The sequence below is a fragment of the Homo sapiens genome, chromosome 22 (genome assembly GCF_000001405.40).
Source record: "Homo sapiens chromosome 22, GRCh38.p14 Primary Assembly".
NCBI classification, from domain to species: domain Eukaryota; kingdom Metazoa; phylum Chordata; class Mammalia; order Primates; family Hominidae; genus Homo; species Homo sapiens.
In genome coordinates this window covers 41,003,729-41,029,319 of record NC_000022.11, presented here as the reverse complement: position 1 = coordinate 41,029,319, position 25,591 = coordinate 41,003,729, and the positions used below count along the sequence as shown (strand labels likewise).

Below are 25,591 nucleotides of genomic sequence, written 5' to 3'. Positions count from 1 at the left end.
GGCCCCTTTCATTTTTGTTCTGTGATTGCGCTGGACATCCAAACTTCATTTCAAAAGGGTCTGAATTCTCAGGGGTCCTGCTTTGTTAGGGTTGCTTTAATTTCCCATTAACTTTTTTATTCCCCATTAATTTTTACTAGCGGGCATGGAATTACTAAGAGGTGCCACACAGAATCTTCTGTGTTTCAGACATAGTTTTGCTGCCCGCATTGTAAAGCAACAACTCAATTTGGTAATCAGAATGAGTCATCCTGGCCAGTAGAGTAACCTCTTTCTTACCAGCTGAGAAGAGCAAAATGTCCAGATTCCAATTCAATGAAACCATACTTGTGTCCCCTCTTGTTAGCAAATACTCCTCTCTTGAGAACTAAGACCTTTCATCAGAGCTCAAAGCTATGGGAGCAGGAGTTAAAAATAGGTGTAATAGCGAGAGGAGCTACTCCTACTTCCAGACCTTCAAATAGCATTATATATTGACCACTGGTTCACAGCATATACTGCATTGTGTAAGACAGATCCCATTCTTTTCAGGCAGTTTTTCTCAACTGGGACCAGAACAGAATCTTCAATAGGCCATGCTAGCATTCCTTCAGGCCAGCTGCTTTTGGGCGATGGACTACATGGTAATATTAGTGAATTGCTGCTATGCTTTTGCTAGGAATTTTTGTTGTTGTTGTTGTTTGATTTTTTTTGTTTTGTTTTTTGTTTTTGAGACAGTTTCCCTCTTGTGGTCCAGGCTGTAGTGCAATTGCACAATCTCAGCTCACTGCAACCTCTGCCTCCCAGATTCAAGTGATTCTCCTGCCTCAGCCTCCCGAGTATCTGGAATAGCAAGTGCCTGCCGCCATACCCGGCTAATTTTTGTATTTTTAGTAGAGAAGGGGCTTTGCCATGTTGGCCAGGCTAGTCACAAAGTCCTGACCTCAGGGGATCTACCTGCCTCGGCCTCCCAAAGTGATGGGATTACAGGCGTGAGCCATCGTGCCCAACCTGTTGTTTTTGAGAGATGGGGTCGCACTCTGTCGCCCAGGCTAGAGTGCAGTCATGCTATCAGGGCTCACTGCAGCCTTGACCTCCTAGGCTCAAGTGATCCCCCTGCCTCAGCCTCCCTAGTAGCCAGGCCACCACGCCTAGCTAATTTTAATTTTTTTTTGTAGAGATGGCATCTCTCTATGTTGTTCAGGCTGTTCTTGAACGCCTGGGCTCAAGTGATCCTCCTGCCTTGGCCTCCCATATTGCCGGGATTACAGGAATAAGCTACCGTCCCCAATCTAGGAAATTTTTTGTTTTGTTTTTGAGATGGAGTCTTGCTCTGTCGCCCAGGCTGGAGTGCAGTGATGCGATCTTCACTCACTGTAACCGCCGCCTCCTGGATTCAAGTGATCCTCCTGCCTCAGCCTCTTGAGTAACTGGGATTACTGGCACGCCCGCCACCATGCCTGACTAATTTTGTATTTTTAGTAGAGACAAAGTTTCACCACGTTGGCCAGGCTGATCTCAAACTCCTGACCTCAAGTGATCCACCTGCCTCGGCCTCCCAAGATGCTGGGATTACAGGCGTAAACCACTGCGCCCGGCCAGAAATTATTTTTTTGATCAGAAGCACTGTTGTATGGATTACCTTGAAAGTGTGTAAGGCATTCTGAAAGTCTATGGACAGTGGCACTGGCAGAAGCAATAGACAGGGAAGGCCGATCCTATCCACAACACATTTATTCTAGTGAAAGCAAACTGCTGTCTCCTCCATGATGGAAGGTTTATGATTCCAGTGTAATCAATGTCCAGCAGGTGGCTGGCTGGTCCCTCTGGGGTATGGCGGCATGTTGAGGGGAGAGGAGGATTCAGTCTTGGTCTCTGCTGTTGGAGGGTTAAACACTCAGGAATAGTAGTAACCAGCCGGACGTGGTGGCTCACACCTGTAATCCCAGCACTTTGGGAGGGTGAGGAGAGCAGATCACCTGAGGTCAGGAGTTCGAGACCAGCCTGGCCAACATGGTGAAACCACATCTCTACTAAAAATACAAAAAATTAGCCAGGTGTGGTGGTGTATGCCTGTAACCCCAGCTACTCGGGAGGCTGAGGCAGAATTGCTTGAACCTGGGAGGCGAAGGTTATAGTGAGCCGAGATCGTGCCATTGCACTCCAGCTTGGGCAACAAGAGCGAATCTCTGTCTTAAAAAAAAAAAAATAGTAGTAACCAGGTCAGTCTTGATAAGGGGATGGTCTTGTTTGGTCCCTGTCTAGCCCACACCTCTGTCCCATAGATCCACCAAACAAGCACCAGGTTGGCTGGGGAAAGAGGTTGAGTGACATCCACGGAATACGTCGCTTTGTCCACTTGATTACTGAGAGCCTCTTCTGCAGTAAATGTCCCTTGGAGACTATTCACATGGAACACTGTTCACTGTGTCTGTTCTGAGAGGTCCATCCACATGTACCTTTTCCCCAGATTTCCTGTTGCCTATCTTCCAGTCCTGTTCTTTCAGGTGTGTTAGCCACTGACCATTAGTCCAATTTCAGGCCATCTCCAAGTCCTAACCATATGGACAATTAAATATTCTGCTCCAAGTTCTGCCCCTTGGGAGGATTTCTCTCCATCATTGTCTTTCCAGAGTACTTTGATTGGGGTCGTAATGCTGATGGGGTGACCGTGAAAGGCTGATGAGAGACTGACAATGGACGGATGAGGCAGACAACTCCTGAATCCGCTGGCCAGTCACAGAGACAACCAGACTTACTGCCAATGGCATCCTCATGACAGTGCAAACCCAGAATGTGAGAAATTCTCAAGGACAAATGATCTGTTTTCTGTTTTTCTATTTTTTGAGGCGGAGTCTCGCTCTGTCACCCAGGCTGGGGTGCAGTGGTGCGATCACTGCTCACTGCAATCTCCACCTCCCGGGTTCAAGCGATTCTTCTGCCTCAGCCTTTCAAGTAGCTGGGTTTTCAGGCGCCTGGCACCATGTCCAGTTAATTTTTGTATTTTTAGTAGAGACGGGGTTTCACCATGTTGGCCAGTCTGGTCTCGAACTCCTGACCTCAAGCGATCTGCCCGCCTTGGCCTCCCAAAGTATTGGGATTACAGGCGTGAGCCACTGCGTCTGGCCAGCCACCGTGCCCAGCCATGATCTGGTTTCTTTCTTTTTTTTTTTTTTTTTTTGAGACGGAGTCTCGCTCTGTTGCCTAGGCTGGAGTGCAGCGGCATGATCTCAGCTCACTGCAACCTCTGCCTCCTGGTTCAAGTGATTTTCCTGCCTCAGCCTCCCAAGCAGCTGGGACTGCAGGCACGTGCCACCATGCCCAGGTAATTTTTGTCTTTTTAGTAGAGACAGGGTTTCACCACATTGGCCAGGCTGGTCTTGATCCCCTGACATCATGATCCACCCGCCTTGGCCTCCCAAAGTGCTAGGACTACATTTTGTTTAAAGGAGGAAGAGGAAATGCTATGGGTTAAAAGGGGCTTAAGAGACATATCAGCCAAATACAATACATGGACCTATTTGGATGGTGATTATAACAACCCAATTATAAAAAAAAATCATTTATGAGACAATCAGGAAAATGTGAACACTGGTGACTGGATATTAGATGATATTAAGGAATTACTGTTAATTATTTTTAGGTGTGATAATTGTATTATAGATATGTTAAAGAAAAGTCCTTGACTATTATTAAAGATTGAATCCTAATCTCCTAGAGATACATTCTGAAGTCTAGTAATATTTTTGATAGAAATAGAATGAATTCTGAGTTTTGCTTTAAAATAGCAAGGCAGACAAAGACAAAACAAGATTGGCTATATGTTGATAATCACTGAAGCTGGATGATAGGTATGGGTACATAATATTATTTGCTCCTTTTTGTGTGAGTTTTAATTTTTCTGTACTGGCCGGGTGCAGTGGCTCACGCTTGTAATCCCAGCACTTTGGGAGGTCAAGGCGGGTGGATCACTTGAGGTCAGGAGTTCAAGACCAGCCTGGCCAACATGGTGAAATCCTGTCTTTACTAAAAAATACAAAAATTAGCCCAGCGTGATGGCAGGCACCTGTAGTCCCAGCTACTCGGGAGGCTGAGGCAGGAGAACTGCTTAAATCCGGGAGGTGAAGGTTGCAGTGAGCTGAGATCGTGCCACTGCATTCCAGCCAGGGCGACAGAGCAAGACTCCATCTCAAAAAAAGAAATAAAAATAATTAAATAAATTTTCTGTACCAAAAGGTGGTTTTCTTTTGGGTTTTGTTTTCTAAATGTATCTTGACCTCATGCCCTTCACATCAAAATTTCTTCAAAGATTAATCTATGACTCCCTCACCCATTCTCTGTGGTTTGGCTTTCAGCTCTGTCAATCCTTTGACACTGCCCTTGCCAAGGTCACCAAGGGAGTCCATGTTACTAAATCCAGTGGTCACTCTTTTGTCCTTCTACCTGACCTCTTGCTGGCATTTCACACTGTGGATCTCTCTTTCTTTCTTTATTTTTATTTTTGAGACGGAGTTTCGCTCTTGTTGCCCAGGCTGGAGTGCAATGGCGCCATCTCAGCTCACCGCAACCTCTGCCTCCTGGGTTCAAGCGATTCTCCTGCCTTAGCCTCCCAAGTAGCTGGGATTACAGGCATGCACCACCACGCCCAGCTAATTTTGTATTTTTAGTAGAGACGAGGTTTCTCCACGTTGGTCAGGCTGGTCTCGAACTCCTGACCTCAGGTGATCCACCTACCTCAGCCTCCCAAAGTGCTGGGATTACAGGCATGAGCCACTGCACCCGGCCAGGTCTCTCTTTTTTGGGACACATTCTTCCTTGGCTTCTGGGAGACCACAGCCCCCCGGTTTCTCTCTAGTCTCATTAGTCACTATCTCTACCAACTCCAGTCCCATGATTTTGAACACACTCCTCACTCCTCTTCACTCCTGGATTTTTATCTCCAGCCCTGCTCTCTTCTCTGAGAACTTACTTTGTCACTTGCTTTGTGTGACTTCTCCACTTTGATATTAAAAAGGCAGCTCAGGGCCAGGCGCAGTGGCTCACACCTGTAATCCCAGCACTTTGGGAGGCTGAGGCGGGTGGATCATCTGAGGTCGGGAGTTCAAGACCAGCCTGGCCAACATGGTGAAACCCCATCTCTACTAAAAACACAAAAATCAGCCGGGTGTGGTGGCACGACCCTGTAATCCCAGCTACTTGGGAGGCTGAGGTTGCAGTGGGCCGAGATCGTGCCACTGCACTCAAGCCTGGGTGACAGAGCAAGACTCCGTCTCAAAAAATAAATAAATAGGCCGGGCACGGTGGCTCACGCCTGTAATCCCAGCACTTTGGGAGGCGGAGGCGGATGGATCACGAGGTCAGGAGTTCAAGACCAGCGTGGCCAACATGGTGAAACCCCATCTCTATTAAAAATACAAAAATTAAGCTGGGTGCAGTGGCTCACGCCTGTAATCCCGGCACTTTGGGAGGCCGAGGCGGGTAGATCACAATGTCAGAAGTTCAAGACCAGCCTGGCCAAGATGGTGAAACCCTGTCTCTACTAAAAAACAAATTAGCCAGGCATGGTGGCACATGCCTGTAGTTCCAGCTACTCAAGAGGCTGAGATGGGAGGATCACTTGAGCCCTGAAGGTGGAGGCTGCAATAAGTCTGGAAGACTGATAGAGACCCTGTATCAAAAATAAAATAAAAGGCAGCTCAGATGTAACATGGCCAAACCCTATTTTGATCTCTCCATTCTCTCATATCTGCTCCTTGCCCATTACAGTTAAGAACCCCTTCAACCAAGCCAGCGTCTCATCCTTGAAGCTCTCTTTTCCTCAAGTCCCCACTACAATCCATCAGCCAATCTGGTCACTTCCACCTCCAATTAGTTCCCTGAATCAGCCTCTTCTCATCAGCGCCACTGCCTCCACCCAGCTCAAGGTCTTACGTGGGCCACCTGATGTCCCAGAAAGCATGGGCACGGCTTACAGATATCACTTAAGTCTTTTCACTCCTTTAACCGCTTTTTAATTCTCTTTATCATCACCTAGGAACATTTTTATCTCCACTCTAACATTTTTATCTACCCGACTTTTAAAAGTTTTCTAAACAAACAATGGGCCTTTCATCCATTGTTTCAGGGGGCATATGCTGAAATATGACACGATGTCAGGGATTTGTTTCACAATAATAGGGAGGAACAGTGGGTAGGGGCTGGGGAAAGAAAAAAAAAACAGGATCAGGAGTTGCTCGTTCTGTGTGGGGGGATGCTCGCCAGGAGCTCACTTTACCATCCTGACTTTTGTTTATGTTCAAAATTCTCCATAATGAAAACCCGAGATTACCAACTCCTACGTAACTGACTTTACGGACAAGAACTCTTTTATCGGGTGCTTGAGGTCAGACCGAGTTACTGCGGTCTGCCAGCAGTGACAATTTAGTGAGGGCTTACTGCTATTAACAACTGTTAAGTGCGGCGCTGATAGGTAACAATGCTTGCGCTCCCAGCGGGGCAGGCACCGAGTGCTTCTTCGGAGGCGCTCCCGACCGCAGCCCAGGCACCCAGACCCCCGCCTGCTCCAGGCCGGCGCCCCGGGCACCTCGGCGGAAGCCGGGAGCGAGCGCAGCTCGGGAAGCCAGAGCTCCACCCTCCCCGAGGCCTTGCACGTGCAGCCCGGAGACTCCGCTGCGCGTCCCTCCCTGCCCCCACCGCGGGCACGTGACCTGCAGCCCTGGGGCCCGGGAGGACTGCGGCCGCGGAACGTCGTAGAGGATCAGGGAAGGTTCAGGGTCGACCTCCAGACTCAGTCCTTGGGTTGGGTGGCAGGGTGGGGGCACTAGGGTGGGGAGATCTCGAGTTTAGGCCATAAAAAAGATCAGAAAGAGAAGAGCCCGAGAGAGAGGTGGCCCACCTTGGCCCCGGAGCTTGGGAGGGCGGGTCCCGGCTGGGGTTCGTGGGATCTGGACCCACTCGCCCCCCGGGACGCGAGCGCGGCGGGGACCGGGCGCGCGAGGCTGCGCCGAGAGAGGGCGCCGGCCCAGGTGCGGCCTCTGGGTGTGGCCGAAGCCAGCCCAGGCGGCCCGGATTGTCGTCCTCTGCGGAAGCGGCCCGGGCGCGGGAGCCGCGGGCGTAGCCAGCTCCGGAGCCCCGCGCCTCCGCCGCCCCGCGCGCCCTTCCTTTGTGTCTCCCAAGCAGGGGTGAACGCAGACCACTTGGATTTGATTTTTCCGTGCGAGTTCCCTTTTTTCCAAGTTCGGGGCCCCTCCTTCCCCCAGCGGCGCGCGCCCCCGGGGTGTCCGCCCCCTCCCCCTCCGGCCCAGCCCTGGGCGGGGCAGACGCCCTTGGAGTCGGGAGAAAAGACTATCTGATTTCAAAACCGACGCGACCCGAGCTGGGCTGCGGAAATGGCGCCCATGTCCCGGCTCCGGCCAGGTCGTGATCAGGAGACAGGTGTGGCCCTGGGACCCGTTTGGAGAGCAGAGGGGACATAAGTGGGTGCTGGGGGCGGGGGAGCTTGTGGCCCTGCGGCCCCCGCCCAGCCCCCGCCGAGCCCCCGCCGCAGCATTTCGGAGCTGGGCGCGGCAAAGGAGGGCCGGGACGCAGGCAGAGCGGGGGTTGAGCGGGGCCTGCGGCAGGGAAACCGGGAGAAGCAGGAGGCCGGGCGGGGCGGGGCAGGACGGTTGAGTCCTTCATTGCTTCTATCACAGACTGAGGAGCCTCTCCCCACCGCAATCCCTTTATACTGGGTAGGGGTTCGAAGGCACAGGGACAGAGTATACAGGACACTGCTTGAGGCAGCGCGTCCACCCACCATCTGTGCGACCTCATCAAGTCACCTCTCTGAGCCTCAGTTTCCCGGTATAATGGAAACGGCAATTTTAAATGACACGTAAGTGCCTGGCACTCATTGAGCTCATCAAATGAAGAGCCCCGTCTCTGGGCCCCCTTGCCCCTGAGGGAAATGCACACACAAACCTAGAAAATGTGCTGTAATGCACAATGTGGGACAGACCCAGTCACTCTCCTTTCATTCTTCTTCCATCGAATATTCTGAGGCTTCGGCGCCAGCCCTTTGCCGGCGGATGCTGCCGAGATGAAGACAGCATGCTCGGCCTGGTGAAGCCAATAAAAGAGCAGGCTCCCCTCCTGGGGCCAGGTGTCACCACAGAAGCAGGCCCTGGAAGATGCCAGGAGCCAGCCAGCCCAGGGCCCTGTCCTACCCCCGGCCCTTCCGCGGGCGAGAGCCCAGGATCTCCAGGTCCTGCCCTGCACTTGGAGATTTGCTCCCTAACAGGTTTTTGGTTTTGTTTTTTTGAATAGAGGCGGGGTTTTGCCGTGTTGCCCAGGCTGGTCTCAAACTCCTGGGCTCAAGCAATCCTCCTGCCTCAGCCTCCCCAAATTCTGGAATTACAGGCGTGAGCCACATGCCCAGTCTGTTGTTTTTCCTTTCTTTTCTTTTCTTTCTTTCTTTCTTTTTTTAGAGACGGTCTCTCTTGCCTCACTTTTTTTTTTTTTTTTTTTGAGACAGTGTCTTACTCAGTTCACCCAGGCTGGAGTGCAGTGGCGTGGTTTTGGCTCACTGCAACCTCTGCCGCCCAGGTTCGAGCAATTCTCCTACCTCAGCCTCCCGAGTAGCTGGGATTACAGGCACCTGCCACAGCGCCCTGCTAATTTTTGTATTTTTAGTAGAGACGGGGTTTCACCATATTGGTCAGGCTGGTCTTGAACTCCTGACCTCGTGATCCACCTGCTTTGGCCTCCCAAAGTGCTGGGATTACAGGTGTGAGCCACCACACCTGGCTCGCCTCACATGTTTTTAAAAGATCCAGTGTCCTGATGGCTCTTGGTGCTCTTCCCAGATGATGGTAAAATGCTCAGTGTGGACCAAGAGAAGCCTGACCCTGACAAACATCCTTTTTTCTTTACACATCTGAATTTTGATGAGCTCTGAAGGGAACTCGATTTCTCCGCAGCCGTCCTGAGTTCTGTGGTGCTTAGTGTCTGATGCCTTCATCTTCCTTTAGTTTCAACACTGTGTATAACTTAGTCCTCTCCAGGACCTGTCCCCCAGCTCTGGGGAGGGACCAAAGCTGTACAGTAGGTGAATAGTGAGTAACTGGATGAAGTGTTCTTTTGTCTCTCTGAATGCTCCCCAGAGCCATAAGGAATTAATAATCTTGGCTACTGGGCTGGGAGCAGTGGCTCACACCTGTAATCCCAGCACCTTGGCAAGCCAAGATGGGAGGATTGCTTGAGGCCAGGAGTTCGAGACCAGCCTGGGCAACAGTGAGGCCCTGTCTCTACAACAAACAAGCAAACAAACAAACAAGAACAACAAAAAAACTCAGCTACCACTTCATGAGTATCTATGCTGCGCCAGGGACTACTTCAGGTACTAAATTCATGCATCTTATATAGAGACGGGAGCACGGTAGGGGATGGCAGAGACAGGTCACTCAGGAAGTTAAGCCAAGGCCAGGTTGGAAGTTAAGCCAGGCCCTGCCGCTGGGTGAACTACACAGGCAACGAGCATTCCACCCTGCCCTGCTGGGTATGCACAGTCTCAGTGTGGTATTCCTAGTGCTGCCCGAGCAGGTGCCAGAGGCACCTTGGGGTGGGGTTATCATTCTGGAAGCTAGAAGGACCAGCAGCTCAGGCAGGGTCCAGTTCCTATTGATTCTACCCTGAAATGTCCCTCAATTCCCTCGACGTCTCACCATTTGTCCCTAGATCACCACACAGAGTCCTTCCTTGCCAACTGGCAGTGCTCCTTTTTTTTCTTTTTGAGACGGAGTCTTGCTCTGTCGCCCAGGCTGGGGTGCAGTGGCGCGATCTCAGCTCACTGCAACTTCCGCCTCCCAGCTTCAAGCCATTCTCCCGCGTCAGCCTCCCGAGTAGCTGGGACTACAGCTAATTTAATATTTTTTGTATTTTTAGTAGAGACGGAGTTTCACCATGTTGGCCAGGATGGTCTCGATCTCTTGACCTCATGATCCGCCTGCCTCGGCCTCCCAAAGTGCTGGGGTTACAGGTTTCAGCCACCGCACCCAGCCTCCCCGCTTTTTTTTTTTTTTTTTTGAGATGGAGTCTCGCTGTCGCCCAGGCTGGAGTGCAGTGGCGCAATCTCGGCTCACTGCAACCTCTGACCCCTGGGCTCAAGCGATCCTCCTACCTCAGCCTTCTGAGTAGCTGGAATTACAGGAGTACGCCACCATGCCTGGCTAATTTTTGTATTTTAGTAGAGACAGGGTTTCACCATGTTGGCCAGGCTTGTCTTGAACTCCTGGCCTCAAGTGATCTGCCTGCCTTGGCCTCCCAAAGTGCTGGGCTTACAGGTATGAACTACTGTGCCCGGCCTCAGTGCTCCCATTTTAATCCATCCCTACCCGGAATCTTACTAAACATTTTAATTCCATCATTTCTTTTTCTTAGATATGAGGCCTCACTCCATCACCCAGGCTGGATTGCAGAGACACGATCATAGCTCACTACAGCCTCTAACTCTTGGGTTCAAGCGATCCTCTCACCTCAGCCTCCATAGTTCTTAGCTGGGACTACAAGTGTGCAGCATCACACCTGGCTAATAATTCCATCCTTAACCCTCTGCGAGGGATGCCATTTGCCTTCTGAATAAACCCAGACTCCTTCAGGAGGCTTACAAGGTCCTGGGCCACATTTTTAGCCTTTCTTCCATCCACTCCACCACAGACTTTAAGATGCAGTAAAAATGGTTCTCACTTCCTTGCCTTACCACAGCTGTGCCATCCACCTGTCGTGCCCACTACCCATCTGCCTCTTCAGGCAGGACTGTGTGGATTGGATGTTGCCAGATCACAGTGGCCTGTTCACTCTCCTGGTTCCTCCTCAAGGACTGAGCACCTTAATTGCATGTCAGTCTTATTGTACTTGGACTCCCTCATGTCTACCGCGGCATATGTGGAGTGAGTGAGTGAGTGAATGAATGAATGAATGAAGGGGTTAAGATTTGGACCAGCTTGTCCCTGAGGGGTCCAGTGAGTTTCGAAGATGTACCTCAAGCAAATAATCATAATCAGGTTGCATGCCCACCCAATGCCAGCAGAGGAGACCAGAGACCAGCGGGCAGGTGGAAGCTGTGCCCCCAGGAGTCTAAGAAGTCTCTGGCCTGGCCAGAGGGTACTTCCAAAGCCTGTGTGAGAAGTTCCATCTTCCCGTCCCTCATCTCAGGCCAACTCTTTTGACAATCCCAGGAAACAGGTATGAGGCCTTTTGTTTTGCTTAGAGACAGGGTCTCTCTCGCCTCATTTTTTTTTTGAGACGGAGTTTCGCTCTATTGCCCAGGCTGGAGTGCAGTGGTGCAGTCTTGGCTCACTGCAAGCTCCACCTTCCAGGTTCACGCCATTCTCCTCCCTCAGCCTCCCGAGTAGCTGGGACTACAGGCGCCCGCCACCACGCCCAGCTAATTTTTTGTATTTTTAGTAGAGACGGGGTTTCACCGTGTTAGCCAGGATGGTCTCTATCTCCTGACCTCATGATCCGCCCGCCTCAGCCTCCCAAAGTGCTGGGATTACAGGCATGAGCCACCGCGCCCGGCCTTTATTTATTATTATTATTTTTAATTTTTTTATTTTTGAGACAGAATTTTGCTCTTATGGCGCAGGCTGGAGTGCCGTGGCATGATCTTGGCTCACTGCAACCTCTGCCTCCTGGGTTCAAGCGATTCTCCTGCCTCAGCTTCCCAAGTAGGTGGGATTACAGGTGCCCACAACCACGCCTGGCTAATTTTTTGTATTTTTAGTTGAGATGGGATTTCACCATGTTGGTCAGGCTGGTCTCGAACTCCTGACCTCAGATGATCTGTCTGCTTCGGCCTCCCAAAGTGCTTGGATTATAGGCATGAGCCACCGCGCCTGGCTGAAATATTTATTAAAAGCCTATTATACTAACAGCAGTCCTAGATTATAACGCATAGAATAAAATATCCACAAATCCATACTGATATGAATAAATAATTGAATAAATAAATAAATAGTTGGGGAGAGAGGAAGGGACAGCTCTTTCTTATGGAAAAAAATCTAATTAACAAATGCAGAAGCAGGCTGGGCACGGTGGCTCACACCTGTAATCCTGAGATAGGAGGATCACTCGAACGAACAATCAAGTGGCTAAGATTGCACCACTGCACTCCAGCCTGGGTAACAGAGTGAGACTTTATCTGTAAATAAATAATAAATCGATCAATAGATCAATAAATAGGAATGAGAGAAATAGAAACTCAACATTAGGCTGGGCGCGGTGGCCCACACCTGTAATCCCAACACTTTGGGAGGCTGAGGTAGGAGGATTACTTGAGGTCAGGAATTCAAGAACAACCTAGCCAACATGGGGAAACCCTATCTCTACTAAAAATAGAAAAATTAGTGGAGCGTGGTGGTGTCCACCTGTAATCCCAGTTTGGGAGGCTGAGGCATGAGAATTGCTTAAACCTGGGAGGTGGAGGTTGTAGTGAGCCAAGATCTCGCCACTGCACTCTAGCCTGGGCGACAGAGTGAGACTCCGTCTCAAAAAAAAAGAGAAAGTCAACACTGGAACACCAATTGTAATTGTTACAGACAAGATCCTCCAATGGGTGCTAAAATTTGTGGGTAAAAGTTTAAGGAGAAATAGAATATTGGCATAATCTCAAAATATCTCCCCTCCAATGTTTATTAACTGCAAATGCAAAGATAATTGTACAGATAATAACTGGACAATGGAGAAATCTTGCAGATACCATCTTAAATGATTAGCCAAATGATTTGCACATCACCAAGAATAAAACATGCCAACACTGTTCACCCCTGATGCACTGAGAAGAGAGAGTCACTCTTCCTGTTTGTCTTCCCCAAAAAGTATAACCTCAATCTAGTTATAAAGAAACAGGCGACACTGTAATCTCAGCACTCTGGGGGCCAAGATGGGTGGATCACCTGAGGTCAGGACTTCGAGACCAGCCTGGCCAACATGGCGAAACACCGTCTCTATTCAAAATACAAAATTAGCCAGGCGTGGTGCCACGCACCTGTAATTCCAGCTTCCTGGGAGGCTGAGGCAGGAGAATCACTTGAACATGGGAGGCAGATGTTGCAGTGAGCTGAGATCACGCCATTGCACTGCAGCCTGGGCAACAAGAGCAAAACTCCACCATCTGAAAAAAAGAAGGAAGGGGAGGGGAGGGGAACAGGCAACAAATGAACAAAGTGAAGGACATTCTGTGAAACACCTGACCAGGCCGGATGCAGTGGCTCATGCCTGTCTTCCAGCGCTTTGGGAGGCCTAGATGGGTGGATGGCTTGAACCCAGGTGTTTGAGACCAGCCTGGGCAACATAGTGAAACCCCGTCTCTACAAAATATTAAAAAGTAATTAGTGTGCACCTGTGGTCCCAGCCAATCGAGAGGCTGAGGTAGGAGCATTGCATGAGCCCAGGAGGTTGAGCCTGCAGTAAAAGGGTTTGTGCCACTGCACTCCAGCCTGGGCGACAGAGCAAGACCCTGTCTCAAAACAAAACAAAACAACAACAACAAAAAAACAGGCCACGCGAGGTGGCTCACGCCTGTAATCCCAGCACTTTGGGAGGCCGAGCTGGGTGAATCACCTGAGCTCAGGAGTTCAAGACCAGCCTGGGCAACATGGTGAAACCCAATCTCTACTAAAATTAAAAAAAAAAAAATTAGCTGGGCGTGGTGGCCTGTGCCTGTAATCCCAGCTACTCAGGAGGCTGAGGCAGGAGAATCGCTTGAACCCGGGGGGCAGAGGTTGCAGTGAGCCGAGATCGCGCCACTGCACTCCAGCCTGGGTGACAGAGTGAGACTCTGTCTCAAAAACAAAACAAAACAAAACAAAACAAAACAAACAAACCCCCAAATACCTGACCAGTATTCTTCAAAAGTGTTGAGGTCATGGATAAGGAAAGACTGAGGAACTGTCATAAGGAAGGTAAGGAGACATGATGATTTACCTGGATTGGATCCTAGGACAGAAAAACAAACAAACACACCCAAAAATGGGACATTAGTGGAAAAATTGGTAAAATTGGAATCAAGTCTGTAGTTCAGCTAATAGTATTGTGCCAATGTGAATGTATTGGTTTGATAACTGCACTACGGTTATGTAAGATGTTAACCTTAGAGGAAGCTGGGTAAGAGGATATACGGGAACTCTGTGCTATTTTTGCAACGTTTCTGTAAGTCTAAAATTATTTCAAAATAAAAAGTGAAAAAAAATTAAAGCCGATTATACCTCTAGCACCCAGCTTGTGATCTCTAAATACCATTTCCTTCCCAAGGGAACCAAGACTCCTTAGAGAAACACTGATTCCAGGTATGGGGCAGAACACAGGAAGAGTCTGGAACAACTAGAAAAATCAGCGAGCAAAGAAGCTGTCAAAGACTCACAGGGGGGTGGGCACAGTGGTTCACACCTGTAATCCCAGCACTTTGGGAGGCCGAGGCGGGCAGATCACGAGGTCAGGAGATCAAGACCATCCTGGCTAACATGGTGAAACCCCATCTCTACTAAAAATACAAAAACCTAGCCGAGTGTGGTGGTGGACAGCTGTAGTCCTAGCTACTCAGGAGGCTGAGGCAGCAGAATTGCTTGAACCTGGAAGGCAGAGGTTGCAGTGAGCTGAGATCACGCCACTGCACTCCAGCCTGGGCGACAGAGCAAGACTCCCGCTCAAAGAAAAAATAAATTAAAAAATTTAGCCAGGCGTAGTGGTGCAAGCCTGTAGTCCCAGCTACCCTGGAAGCTGAGGTAGAAGGAGGATCACTTGGGCCTGGGAGGTGAAGGCTACAGTGAGCTGTGATCACACCACTGCACTCTAGCCTGGGTGACAGAGTGAGACCCTATCAAAAAAAAAAAAAAAAAGAGAGAGAGAGAATGGTCACATTAGGTTATCGTCATCTTGCATCCCTTCATGAACTAAGGGATCTGAGCATTGAACAGTAGTGGCTGCTGATGTTACACCAAAAAAAGACAACCAGACATTATTTGCCTCTCAATGAAATCACACACTTTCCATGAATTATTCACGTCAAAAAACTCTAATCTGGATTGCTTGACCCCAGGAGGCGGGAGTTGTTGCAGTAAGCAGAGAATGCACCACTGAACTCCAGCCCAGGCGACAGAGTGAGACTCTGAGTCAAAAAAAAAAAACAAAACCAAAAAACCTCTAATCTGAGCTGAGCAAGGTGGCATGTGCCTGAATCCCACCTACTTGGGAGGCTGAGGTGGAAGGATCTCTTGAGCCCAGGAGGTGAAGGCTGCAGTGAGCTATGATCGCACCACTGCACTCCAGCCTGGGCCACAGAGTGAGACCCAGTCTCTAAAGCAACAGCAGTAACAAAAACAACAGACCCTCTAATCTAAATTTGATCAGGCCTATAAGAAACTATGAATTTACAGGAAATACAAAGCACAGAAATCTTGTTAAATTGTACCACAGGGATGCAATCAGGAAAATCCAAACTGGAGGATATGATAGAACAAATGATGTGTTTACATTGAAAATTGAAAGAGCTGGAAGGAGAAACTAGAGATAAGAGACCTAAATGACATATCAGCTGATTGCACAGTGCGGTCCTTATTTATTTATTTTAGAGACAGGGTCTCACTCTGTCTCCGAGACTGGAGTGTAGTGGTGCATGTGTCTCTTTCTCCTTAAACATTTCAGTGTGCAGTGTGTATCTCTAAAACTCAGGCCTAAAAAAAATACATAACTACAGTACCATTATAACAACTAAAAAGATATACAATAATTCTTTGATGTTAAATGGTCTAGTCAACATTCACATTTCCAATGACGTTAGTCTTGTAAATGACATTAGATATTTCTGTTTTACAGTGTTTTGTTTTGTTTTTTTTTTTTGAGATGGAGTTTTGCAATTCTTGCCCAGGCTGGAGTGCAATGGCTCGATCTTGGCTCATTGCAACCTCTGCCTCCAGGGTTCAAGCGATTCTTCTGCCTCAGCCTCCCAAATAGCTGGGGTTACAGGCATGCACCACCATGCCTGGCTAACTTTTGTATTTTTAGTAGAGACGAGGTTTCACCATGTTGGCCAGGCTGGTCTCGAATTCCTGACCTCAAGTGATCCGTCTGCCTCAGCCTCTCAAAGTGCTGGGATTACAGGTGTGAACCACTGCACCCGGCTATGTTTATTTGTTTGTTTGTTTGTTTTGACAGGGTCTTGCTCTGTTGCCCAGGCTGAAGTACAGTGGTATGATCATGGCTCCCTGCAGCCTCAACCTCCTGGGCTCAAACAATCTTCCTGCCTCAGCCTCCCGAGTAGCTGGGACTACAGGCATATGCCACCACGCCTGGTTGGTCCTTATTTTTATCTTGATTAAACCAAACAAAACAAAAACAGGCTGGGCGTGGTCACTCACACTTGTAATCCTAGCACTTTGGGAGGCTGAGATGAGAAGATTGCTTGAGCCCAGGAATTCAAGACCACCCTGGGCAACATGGCAAGACCCTGTCTCTACATTAGCCAGGCATGGTGGAACACACCTGTTAGTCTCAGCTACTCAGGTGGCTGGGGCAGAAGGATCACTTGAGCCCAGGAGTTGGAGGCTGCAGTGAGCCATGATCACACCACTGTACTTCAGCCTGGGCAACAGAGCAAGACTGTCAAAAAAAAAAAAACAAAACTAAAAAACCACTGCAAAACAGAAACATCTAATATCATTTACGAGACCATTGGAAATTTGAACGCTGACTAGACCATTTGATATCAAGGAATAATTGTATATCTTTTTAGTTGTTACAATGGTACTGTAGTTAGGTATGTTTTTTAGGCCTGAGTTTTAGAGATACACACTGCACACTGAAATGTTTACAGAAGAAAGGATATGAGGTGTGGGCTTTACTTCCATGTAATATTTCCAAAGGAAAGGGATGGAGTGTGGATGGCGCATGATCAGCCATGGGTTGATGGGTGTTGGGACTAGCTGCCAAGATTCATCATCTGATTCTATTTTTTGGTGCATGTTCAAATTTTACCTAATAAAAAGTCTTTTTTTTTTTTGAGATGGAGTCTTGCTGTGTCGCCCAGGCTGGAGTGCAGTGGCCCAATCTCGGTTCACTGCAAGCTCTGCCTCCCGGGTTCACGCCACTCTCCTGCCTCAGCCTCCCGAGTAGCTGGGACTACAGGCACCCACCACCATGCCCGGCTAATTTTTTGTATTTTTACTAGAGACGGGGTTTCACCATGTTAGCCAGGATGGTCTCGATCTCCTGACTTCGTGATCCGCCTGCCTCGGCCTCCCAAAGTGCTGGGATTACAGGCGTGAGCCACTGTGCCCGGCCTTAAAAAGTCTTTTAAAAACAACTGCAATCTACAAGTTACAGATAACAGTCATCAACATTTTGTAGTCTACCAGTGTCTGTCTTTTAAAAATATATGTGTATGTGCCTATGGTTTTTGTTTTTTTTTTTTTTGAGACAGAGCCTCATTCTGTTGCCCAGGCAGGCTGAAGTGCAGTGGCGCAATCCAGGCTTACCACAACCTCCACCTCCCAGGTTCAAGTGATTCTCCTGCCTCAGCCTCCTGAGTAGCTGGGACCACAGGTGCACCACCATGCCTGGCTAATTTTTGTATTTTTAGTAGAGATGGGGTTTCACTATGTTGGCCAGGCTGGTCTTGAACTCCTGACCTCATGATCCACCCATCTTGGCCTCCCAAAGTGCTGGGATTACAAGCGTGAGCCACCACACCCAGCCTGTATTTTTTTAAATTTAGATTAGATAACATATATCTTTTTAGTAACCCATTTCTATATTACCCTATCAATAAATATTCTACCCTGTCTCTATAAAAATTTTTAAAAAATTAGCCAGGCATGGTGGTGCCTGCCTGTAGTCTCAGCTACTCAGGAGGCCAAGGTGGGAGGATCGCTTTTGCCTGGAGGTTGAGGCTGCGGTCAGCATGGATTGTGCTACTGTACTCCAGACTGGGTGACAGAGCGAGACCTTGTCTCAAAAATAAATAAATATATATATATGTATATTCTACCTCTGGATAATTTTTTAAGGCCTTTTATGCCCCAGGTGCTACGAACATGGTGATAAGCCTGATATCTTGCCTCCAGACAGCCTGTGGTCTAAGGGAGTGAGCAAATCTCACCTCTTGTGACTCAGTTTGCTGCTCTCTATGATGGGTGTGCCCTTTCCTTCTTTTCTTTTTCTTGGGGTGAAGGGAGCGTGCCCTTTCTAAAACCTCCCAGCTGTACAGTTCCAATGACAGAAACTTCACTCTGCTGTCCACACCACTCTTCCAATGAGACCTAGCCTGGATTCTAGGCAGGGAATAACATCAGGGCTCAATCAGAGTAGCCTGTATGCCTCTGAAAGACAGTGTCCTGCAAAAGGTAGGCACTTGAATTGTCTAATGAGCTCCACTTCAGACCCCTGGGGCTTGACTGGATTGTCATTACGACGTTGTCATTCACTTCTTTCTCTGGACCCCTGCAGCCCCTCCTGGCCCAGAGCTGTACTGTGTTTAACCGTAGCCTCTCCAGCTTCTCCAGCTGACCCTGAGCTCCTCAGGACGCCAGCACCTGCCAGAGGGTCTGGCACACAATGAGTGTGAACTAAATGAATATATGGAAGGAAAGCAACCCAGGTGTGTGGCCAAGAGCGTGTGTTTAGTCAGACTCCAAACCCAATTACCAACTCCTTAGTGATTTTTTTTTTTTTTTTGAGACAGCATTTCACTCTCTTGCCCAGGTTGGAGTGCAGTGGCATAATCATGGCTCACTGCATCCTCAACCTCCCAGGCTCAAGCAATCCTCTTGCCTCAGCCTCCATAGTAGCTGGGACTACAGGTGGGCACCACCACGCTTGGCTGAGTTTTAAATTTTTTGTAGAGATGGGGTCTCTCTATATTACCCAGAATGGTCACAAATTCCTGGATTCAAGCCATCCTCACACCTTACCCTCCCAAAGTGCTGGGATTACAGGCATGAGCCACGACACCTGGTCTTCTTTAGTGAATTTATTTATTATTATTATTATTATTATTATATTTTGGAGACAGAATCTCCCTCTGTCGCCCAGACTGGAGTGCAGTGATGCAATCTCAGGTCACTGCAACCTCCGCCTCCCAGGTTCAAATGATTCTCTTGCCTCAGCCTCCCGAGTAGCTGAGATTATAGGCATGCACCACCATGCCCAGCGCGTTTTTGTATTTTTTGTAGGGACGGGGTTCCACCATGTTGACCAGGCTGGTCTCGAACTCCTGACCACAAGTGATCCACCTCCATTGGCTTCCCAAAGTGCTGGGATTACAGGCATGAGCCACTGCGCCTGGCCTCTTAATGAATTTTTAAGAAACGAAGCTCCATGGCCGTTGAAGATCAGTTGGCCTGTTAGTTTCCCCTTTTCCTTGGGAGGCACGGGAGGAAAGGGTTAAAGGAGGTGAACTGACAGCAGGGCAGTGAGGAGGAGGGACAGAGTTTGGGGTTGAGGGGTGGGGAGAAAAGGGAGCTGGAGGAGCAAGGGTGGGCCCCTTCCTACCCTACTGCTGGGCTCTGCTCAGCCCCAGGTCAGCCTCTGGGCTGGTGTCTTCACCATGTGGCAATGGTAATTGCTCCAGACCCAGCAGCTCCCCATTGCCCACACTTCCTCCTGTTCTTCCCGCCCCTCAGCCTTTGCGAGGTCAGCTTGGCCCTGAGCCTGTGCCCACACCCATGGCCTCCCTCTTTCAGGCCTGTTTACCTGGTGAGGTGCAGGATGCTGCAGGGTGTGCACCTGTCAGCCTCATTCAGCTGAGGAGCAGGCAGGGGTTAGAGCATGGGAAGCTGCTTTTTCTGCTGTAAATGAGGAACATTGGTTCATATGGACTCCAGGGATGAATTGCTGGGGAAAGGGAGCTCCCTTTGTTCAGTTTACAAAACCCCCCGTGGGAGCCAGATGTGATGGCTCATGCATGTAACCCTAGCACTTTGGGAGGCTGAGGTGGAAGATGGCTTGAGCCCAGGAGTGTGAGGTCAGCCTGAGCAACATAGGCAGGATTGCTTGAGCCTGGGGCATAGAGGCTCAAAAAAAAAAAAAAAAAAAAAACCAACAAAACAAAACTTTAGCCAGGCGTGGAGGTGCATGCCTATAGTCTCAGCTACTTGGGAGGCTGAGGCAAGAGAAACACTTGAGCCCAGGAGTTTGAGGCTGCAGTGAGCTGTGATGGTACCACTATACTCCAGCCTGGGTAACAGAGCAAGACCCTGTCTCTTAAAAAATAGAAAACAAAAATGAAGCCCACAGGGACACTTATTGCCCAGGCCGTGGGACCAGAGCTCCTCTGGGGCAAGGTCCGTGACCCATGGATGTATGGGTCCCCAGTGTGCAGGACAGGGCCTGGCATTTTGGGTGGCGGAGGGATGGAGGAGGCTTGGGAAATATTTACTAAATGAACAAGTGAATGAATGAGTGAGCCATGTTACATGCAGCTACAGTGAACACTGAGCGAAGTAGAAAAGACCAAGAGTTCCAAAGGCAACTAAAAACCTGGGCTCAAATCCTTCCCTGCTATGGAGCTAGCTCTGCTGATTTGGGCAAGTCGCTTAAAACACCATCTGCCTTAGGTTCCCTAACTGTAAAATGGAAGCAAAAAAATTCCACCTTGCTTATGAGGTTTACATGGAATGCTTGTAGAGCATGTGGGTAATGGGCTTAATAAATGGTCACCAGTATTTATTTTTTAATTAAAAAATATTTTGTGATACTTTATTTATGTATTTATTATTTATTTATTTTTTGAGACAGTGTCTCGCTCTGTCACCCAGGCTGGAATGCAGTGGCATGATGTTGGCTCACTGCAAGCTCCGCCTCAAGGGTTGACACCATTCTCCTGCCTCAGCCTCCCCAGCAGCTGGAACTATAGGCGCCCACCACCACACTCGGCTAATTTTTTTTTGTTTTTAGTAGAGATGGGTTTTCACCGTGATAGCCAGGATGGTCTCAATCTCCTGACCTCGTGATCTGCCTGCCTCGGCCTCCCAAAGTGCTGGGATTATAGGCATGAGCCACCACACCCGGCCAACATCATTGTTAGTAGTATTGTTTACTAATTCAACAAATATGTATCAAGTGCCTACTACATGCAGGGTCCTTTCTAGGCACTGGACAAAACATGCCAAGACCCTTCTGTCATGGGGTTTCTGTTCAGGCCAGGGAGAGGGACAATAAACACAAGGAAAGAGTAAATGAAGTATCATTGGAAGGTGAAAGATGTTATGGAAGAAGAAAATAGAGTGGGGGAGGGGATGCAGAGGAAGAAGGATGGATTGGGTTGTCATTTTAAATAGGGTGGCCCTATTAGAAGGCCGCATTAGAAAGTGACACTGGGGTCAGGCATGGTGGCTCATGCCTGCAGTCCCAGCACTTTGGGAGACCAAGGCGGGTGGATCACTTGAGGTCAGGAGTTCGAGACCAGCCTGGCTAACATGGTGAAACCCCATCACTACTAAAAATACAAAAATTAGCTGGGTGTGGTGGTGTGCACCTGTAGTCCCAGCTACTCAGGAGGCTGAGGCAAGAGAATCGCTTGAGTCCAGGAGGTTGCAATGAGTGGAAATTGCACCAAGCACTCCAGCCTGGTGACAGAATGAGACTCTATCTCAAAAAATTAATAATAGGCTGGGCACGGTGGCTCACATGGCATCCCAGCACTTTGGGAGGCAAAGGCAGGCAGATCACCTGAGATTGGGAGTTTGAGACCATTCTGACCAACAAGGAGAAACCCCGTCTCTACTAAAAATACAAAATTAGCCGAGTGTGGTGGCGCACACCTGTAATCCCAGCTACTCAGGAGGCTGAGGCAGGAGAATTGCTTGAACCCAGGAGGCGGAGGTTGTGGTGAGCCAAGATCATGCCACTGCACTCCAGCCTGGGTGACAAGAGCGAAACTCCATCTCAAAAATAAAAATAAAAATAAATAAAAAAATAAAAAGAAAGACTGGCAGGAAGGGAGACAGATGTGCCATATCTCAGGAAAGGGTATTTGCACAGAAGGAGCAGGCCAGTGTGAAATTCTTTAGGTGGGGTGGATGGAGTGGAGTGAGCTAGGGAAAGTGACAGGGATGAAGTCAGAGGTAAAGTGGCCATATCACGTAGGTCATCACCAGCCAAGTAAAGAGAAGCTACGGCAGGGCTTTGAGCATAGAAACAACACAATCTAACTTACATTTTGGGTTATTAGTCTTTTCTTCTTTTATTATTTTCAGAGACAGGGTATTGCTCTGTCACCCAGGCTGGGTTAGCCTTTAAAATGTAACTCAGGGGCTGGGCATGGTGGCTTATGCCTGTAATCCCAACACTTTGGGAGGCTGAGGTGGGAGGATTGCTTGAGGCCAGGAGTTCAAGACCAGCCTGGGCAACACAGCGAGACCCTCATCTCTACAAAAAATTTTTTGAAAATTAGCTGGGCATGGTAATGTGCACCTGTAGTCCCAGCTATTGGGGAATTTGAAGTGGGTGGATCACCTGAGTCCAGGAGTTTAATGCTGCAGTGAGCTATGATTGTGCCACTGTACTCTAGCCTGGGTGACAGAGTGAGACCCTGTGTCAAAAAAATAATAATAATAATAATTTTTTTTGAGATGGAATCTTGCTCTGTCACCCAGGCTGGAGTGCAGTGGTGCAATCTTGGTTCACTGAAACCTCTGCCTCCCAGGCCCAAGCAATTCTTGTGCCTCAGCCTCCCAAGTAGCTGGGATTACAGGAGCATGCCACCATGCCTGGTTAATTTTTTATATTTTTTGGAGAGAAGGGTTTCGCTATGTTGGCCAGGCTGGTCTTGAACTCCTGGCCTCAAGTGATCCACCTGCTTTGGCCACCCAAAGAGCTGGGATTACAGGCATGAGCCACCACTCCCAGCTTTAGATTATTAAAATAAAGGCTAACCCCAGCTGCCTGGATGAGCATAGACTGTAAAGAACAAGGGGAGAGAGGGGCAGAGAGAATTCAGTACTAGGTGCCAAGGGGGTAGCAGTGGTGGTGACAAATGGTTGGATTCTGGATACACACACACACACACACACACACACACACACACACACACACACACATATATATATATTTTTTTTTGAGACAAGGTCTCAGTCTGTAACCCAGGCTAGAGTGCAGTGGTGCAATCATAGCTCACTGCAGCCTGGAACTCCTGGGCTCAAGTAAGCCTCCTGCCTCCTAAGGTTCCTGCTCAAGCGAGGCTCCTGAGGCTCCTGCCTCAGCTTCCGGATTCTGGATATATATATATAGCTTTATTTCCTGAGGGGTTGGATGTGTAGTATGAGAGAGAGCCAAGGATGGCTGGAGGGTTTTGAGTCTGAAAAATGTAAGGAATGAGTTGCCACCAACTGAAACGGGCTAGGCTGGACATGAAAGAGGTTTGGGAGTGGGGTAATCAGGGGCTCAATTTTTTTCTGTTTTTGTTGTTGTTGTTGTTTGTTTTATTGAGACAGTCTCTCTCTGTCACTGCCCAGGCTGGAGTGCAGCGGTGTGATCTCGGCTCACTGTAATCTCTGCCTCCCAAATTCAAGTGATTCTCTTGCTTCAGCCTCCCGAGTATCTGGGATTACAGGTGTGTGCTACCAGGTCCAGCTAATTTTTTTATTTTTTGGTAGAGACGGGATTTCACTGTGTTGGCCAGGCTGGTCTTGAACTCCTGGCCTCAAGTGATCCATCTGTTTTTGCCTCCCAAAGTGCTGGGATTACAAGTGTGAGCCACTGTGCCTGGCCTGGAGCTCAATTTTGGATGTATTAAGATACAGATGCTGGCCAGGTGTGGTGGCTCACATCTGTAATCCCAGCACTCTGGGAGGCTGAGGTGGGTGGATCTTGAGGTTAGGAGTTTGAGACCAGCCTGGCCAAGATGGTGAAACCCCATCTCTACTAAAAATATAAACATTAGCCAGGCGTGGTTGTGGGCGCCTGTAATCCCAGCTACTTGGGAGGCTGAGGCAGGAGAATTGCTTAAACCCAGGAGGTGGAGGTTGCAGTGAGCCGAGATCGTGCCACTGCACTCTAGCCTGGGCAACAGAGCAAGACTCCATCTTAAAAAAAAAAAGAGATATAGATCCCAGTTAAACATGCACGTGAATATATCTAACGGGCAGTTGGATATTCAGGATCAGGCCGTGGAGTTGTTAGCACTGCTACGACTATTTTTTCTCCACTGTCATACTTGATCCTCACACCAGCCCAAGAGTAAGGCAGGGCAGGGATGATTCTCCCAGCTTGAGGGAATTAAAATTCTATGGAGAGTATATAACCAAAATAATTGAAAACAGGTATTCAAATACTTGTAGGCTGGGCATGGTGGCTCATGCCTGTAATCCTAGCACTTTGGGAGGCCGAGGCAGATGGATCACCTGAGGTCAGGAGTTGGAGACCAGCCTGGCCAACATGGTGAAATCCCCCTCTCTACTAAAAATGCAAAAAAATTAGCTGGGCATGGTGCCGGGCGCCTGTAATCCCAGCTACTCGGGAGGCGGAGGCAGGAAAATCGCTTGAACCCAGGAGGCGGAGGTTGTAGTGAGCCAAGATCGTGCCACTGCATTCCAGCCTGGTCGACAGAACGAGACTGTGTCTCAAAAAAACAAAAACAAAAACCAAAAAACCAAACAAATACTTGTACAGGAATGTTCATAGCAGCACTATTCGTGACAGCCAAAGGTGGAAACCACCCAAATGTCCATCACCTGGTGAAGGGCTATATAAAATGTGACGTGTACCCATGCAATGGACTATTATTCAGACATTAAGAGGAACGAAGGCCTGCTCCATAACAAATTGTTGATGCACCTCAAAAACATTATGCTGGCTAGGCACGGTGGTACATGCCTATAATCCCAGCACTCTGGGAGGCTGAGGCAGGAGGATTGCTTGAGCTCAGGTGTTTGAGACCAGCCTGGGAAACACGGTGAAAAAATACAAAAAAATACAAAGATTAGCCAGGGATGGTGGCACACACCTTTAGCCTCAGCTACTTGGGAGGCTGAGGTAGAAGGATCACTTGAGCCCGGGAGGTTGAGGCTACAGTGAGCTGAAATTGTGCCACTACACTCCAGCCTGGACAACAGAATGAGACCCTGTCTCACAAAAAACAAAATACCATTATGCTAAGTGAATGACGCATCACAAAAGGTCACATATTTTGTGATCCCATTCACATGAAGTGTCCAGAATAGGGAAATCCATAGAGACAGAAAGCAGATTTGTGGTTGCCTGGGGGTAGCGACGGGGGAATGAAGAGTGAGTGCTTAATGAGTATGGGGTATACTGTGAATATACTGATTCTGAACTGTACACTTTTATTTATTTATTTATTTATTTTAATAGTGATGGAGGGCGGGGCACAGTGGCTCACGCCTGTAATCCCAGCACTTTAGGAGGCCGGGGCGGGTGGATCACCTGAGGTCAGGAGTTTGAGACCAGCCTAGCCAACATGATGAAACCCTTACTTTACTAAAAATACAAAAATTAGCTGGGTGTTGTAGCGGGCTCCTGTAGTCCTATAGTCCTAGCTACTTGGGAGGCTGAGGTAGGAGAATCACTTGAACCTGGGAGGTGGAGGCTGCACTGAACTGAGATTGCGCCATTGCACTCCAGC

At 48.8% G+C, this 25,591-nt stretch overlaps 4 annotated features.

Annotated features, from left to right (window-relative positions):
• Positions 6,371–6,947: an enhancer, noted in NCBI's record as "H3K27ac hESC enhancer chr22:41418377-41418953 (GRCh37/hg19 assembly coordinates)". NCBI's record gives its function as "activates a minimal SCP1, AML or CMV promoter by ChIP-STARR-seq in naive H9 embryonic stem cells {active_cell/tissue: H9 hESC(naive)}" and the evidence as "EXISTENCE:reporter gene assay evidence [ECO:0000049][PMID:30033119]".
• Positions 6,371–7,606: a biological region, named in NCBI's record as "H3K27ac hESC enhancer GRCh37_chr22:41418377-41418953".
• Positions 6,377–7,606: a silencer, noted in NCBI's record as "silent region_13776". NCBI's record gives its function as "represses an Ori minimal core promoter by ATAC-STARR-seq in GM12878 lymphoblastoid cells {active_cell/tissue: GM12878}" and the evidence as "EXISTENCE:reporter gene assay evidence [ECO:0000049][PMID:35858748]".
• Positions 8,102–8,679: an enhancer, noted in NCBI's record as "H3K27ac-H3K4me1 hESC enhancer chr22:41416645-41417222 (GRCh37/hg19 assembly coordinates)". NCBI's record gives its function as "activates a minimal SCP1, AML or CMV promoter by ChIP-STARR-seq in naive H9 embryonic stem cells {active_cell/tissue: H9 hESC(naive)}" and the evidence as "EXISTENCE:reporter gene assay evidence [ECO:0000049][PMID:30033119]".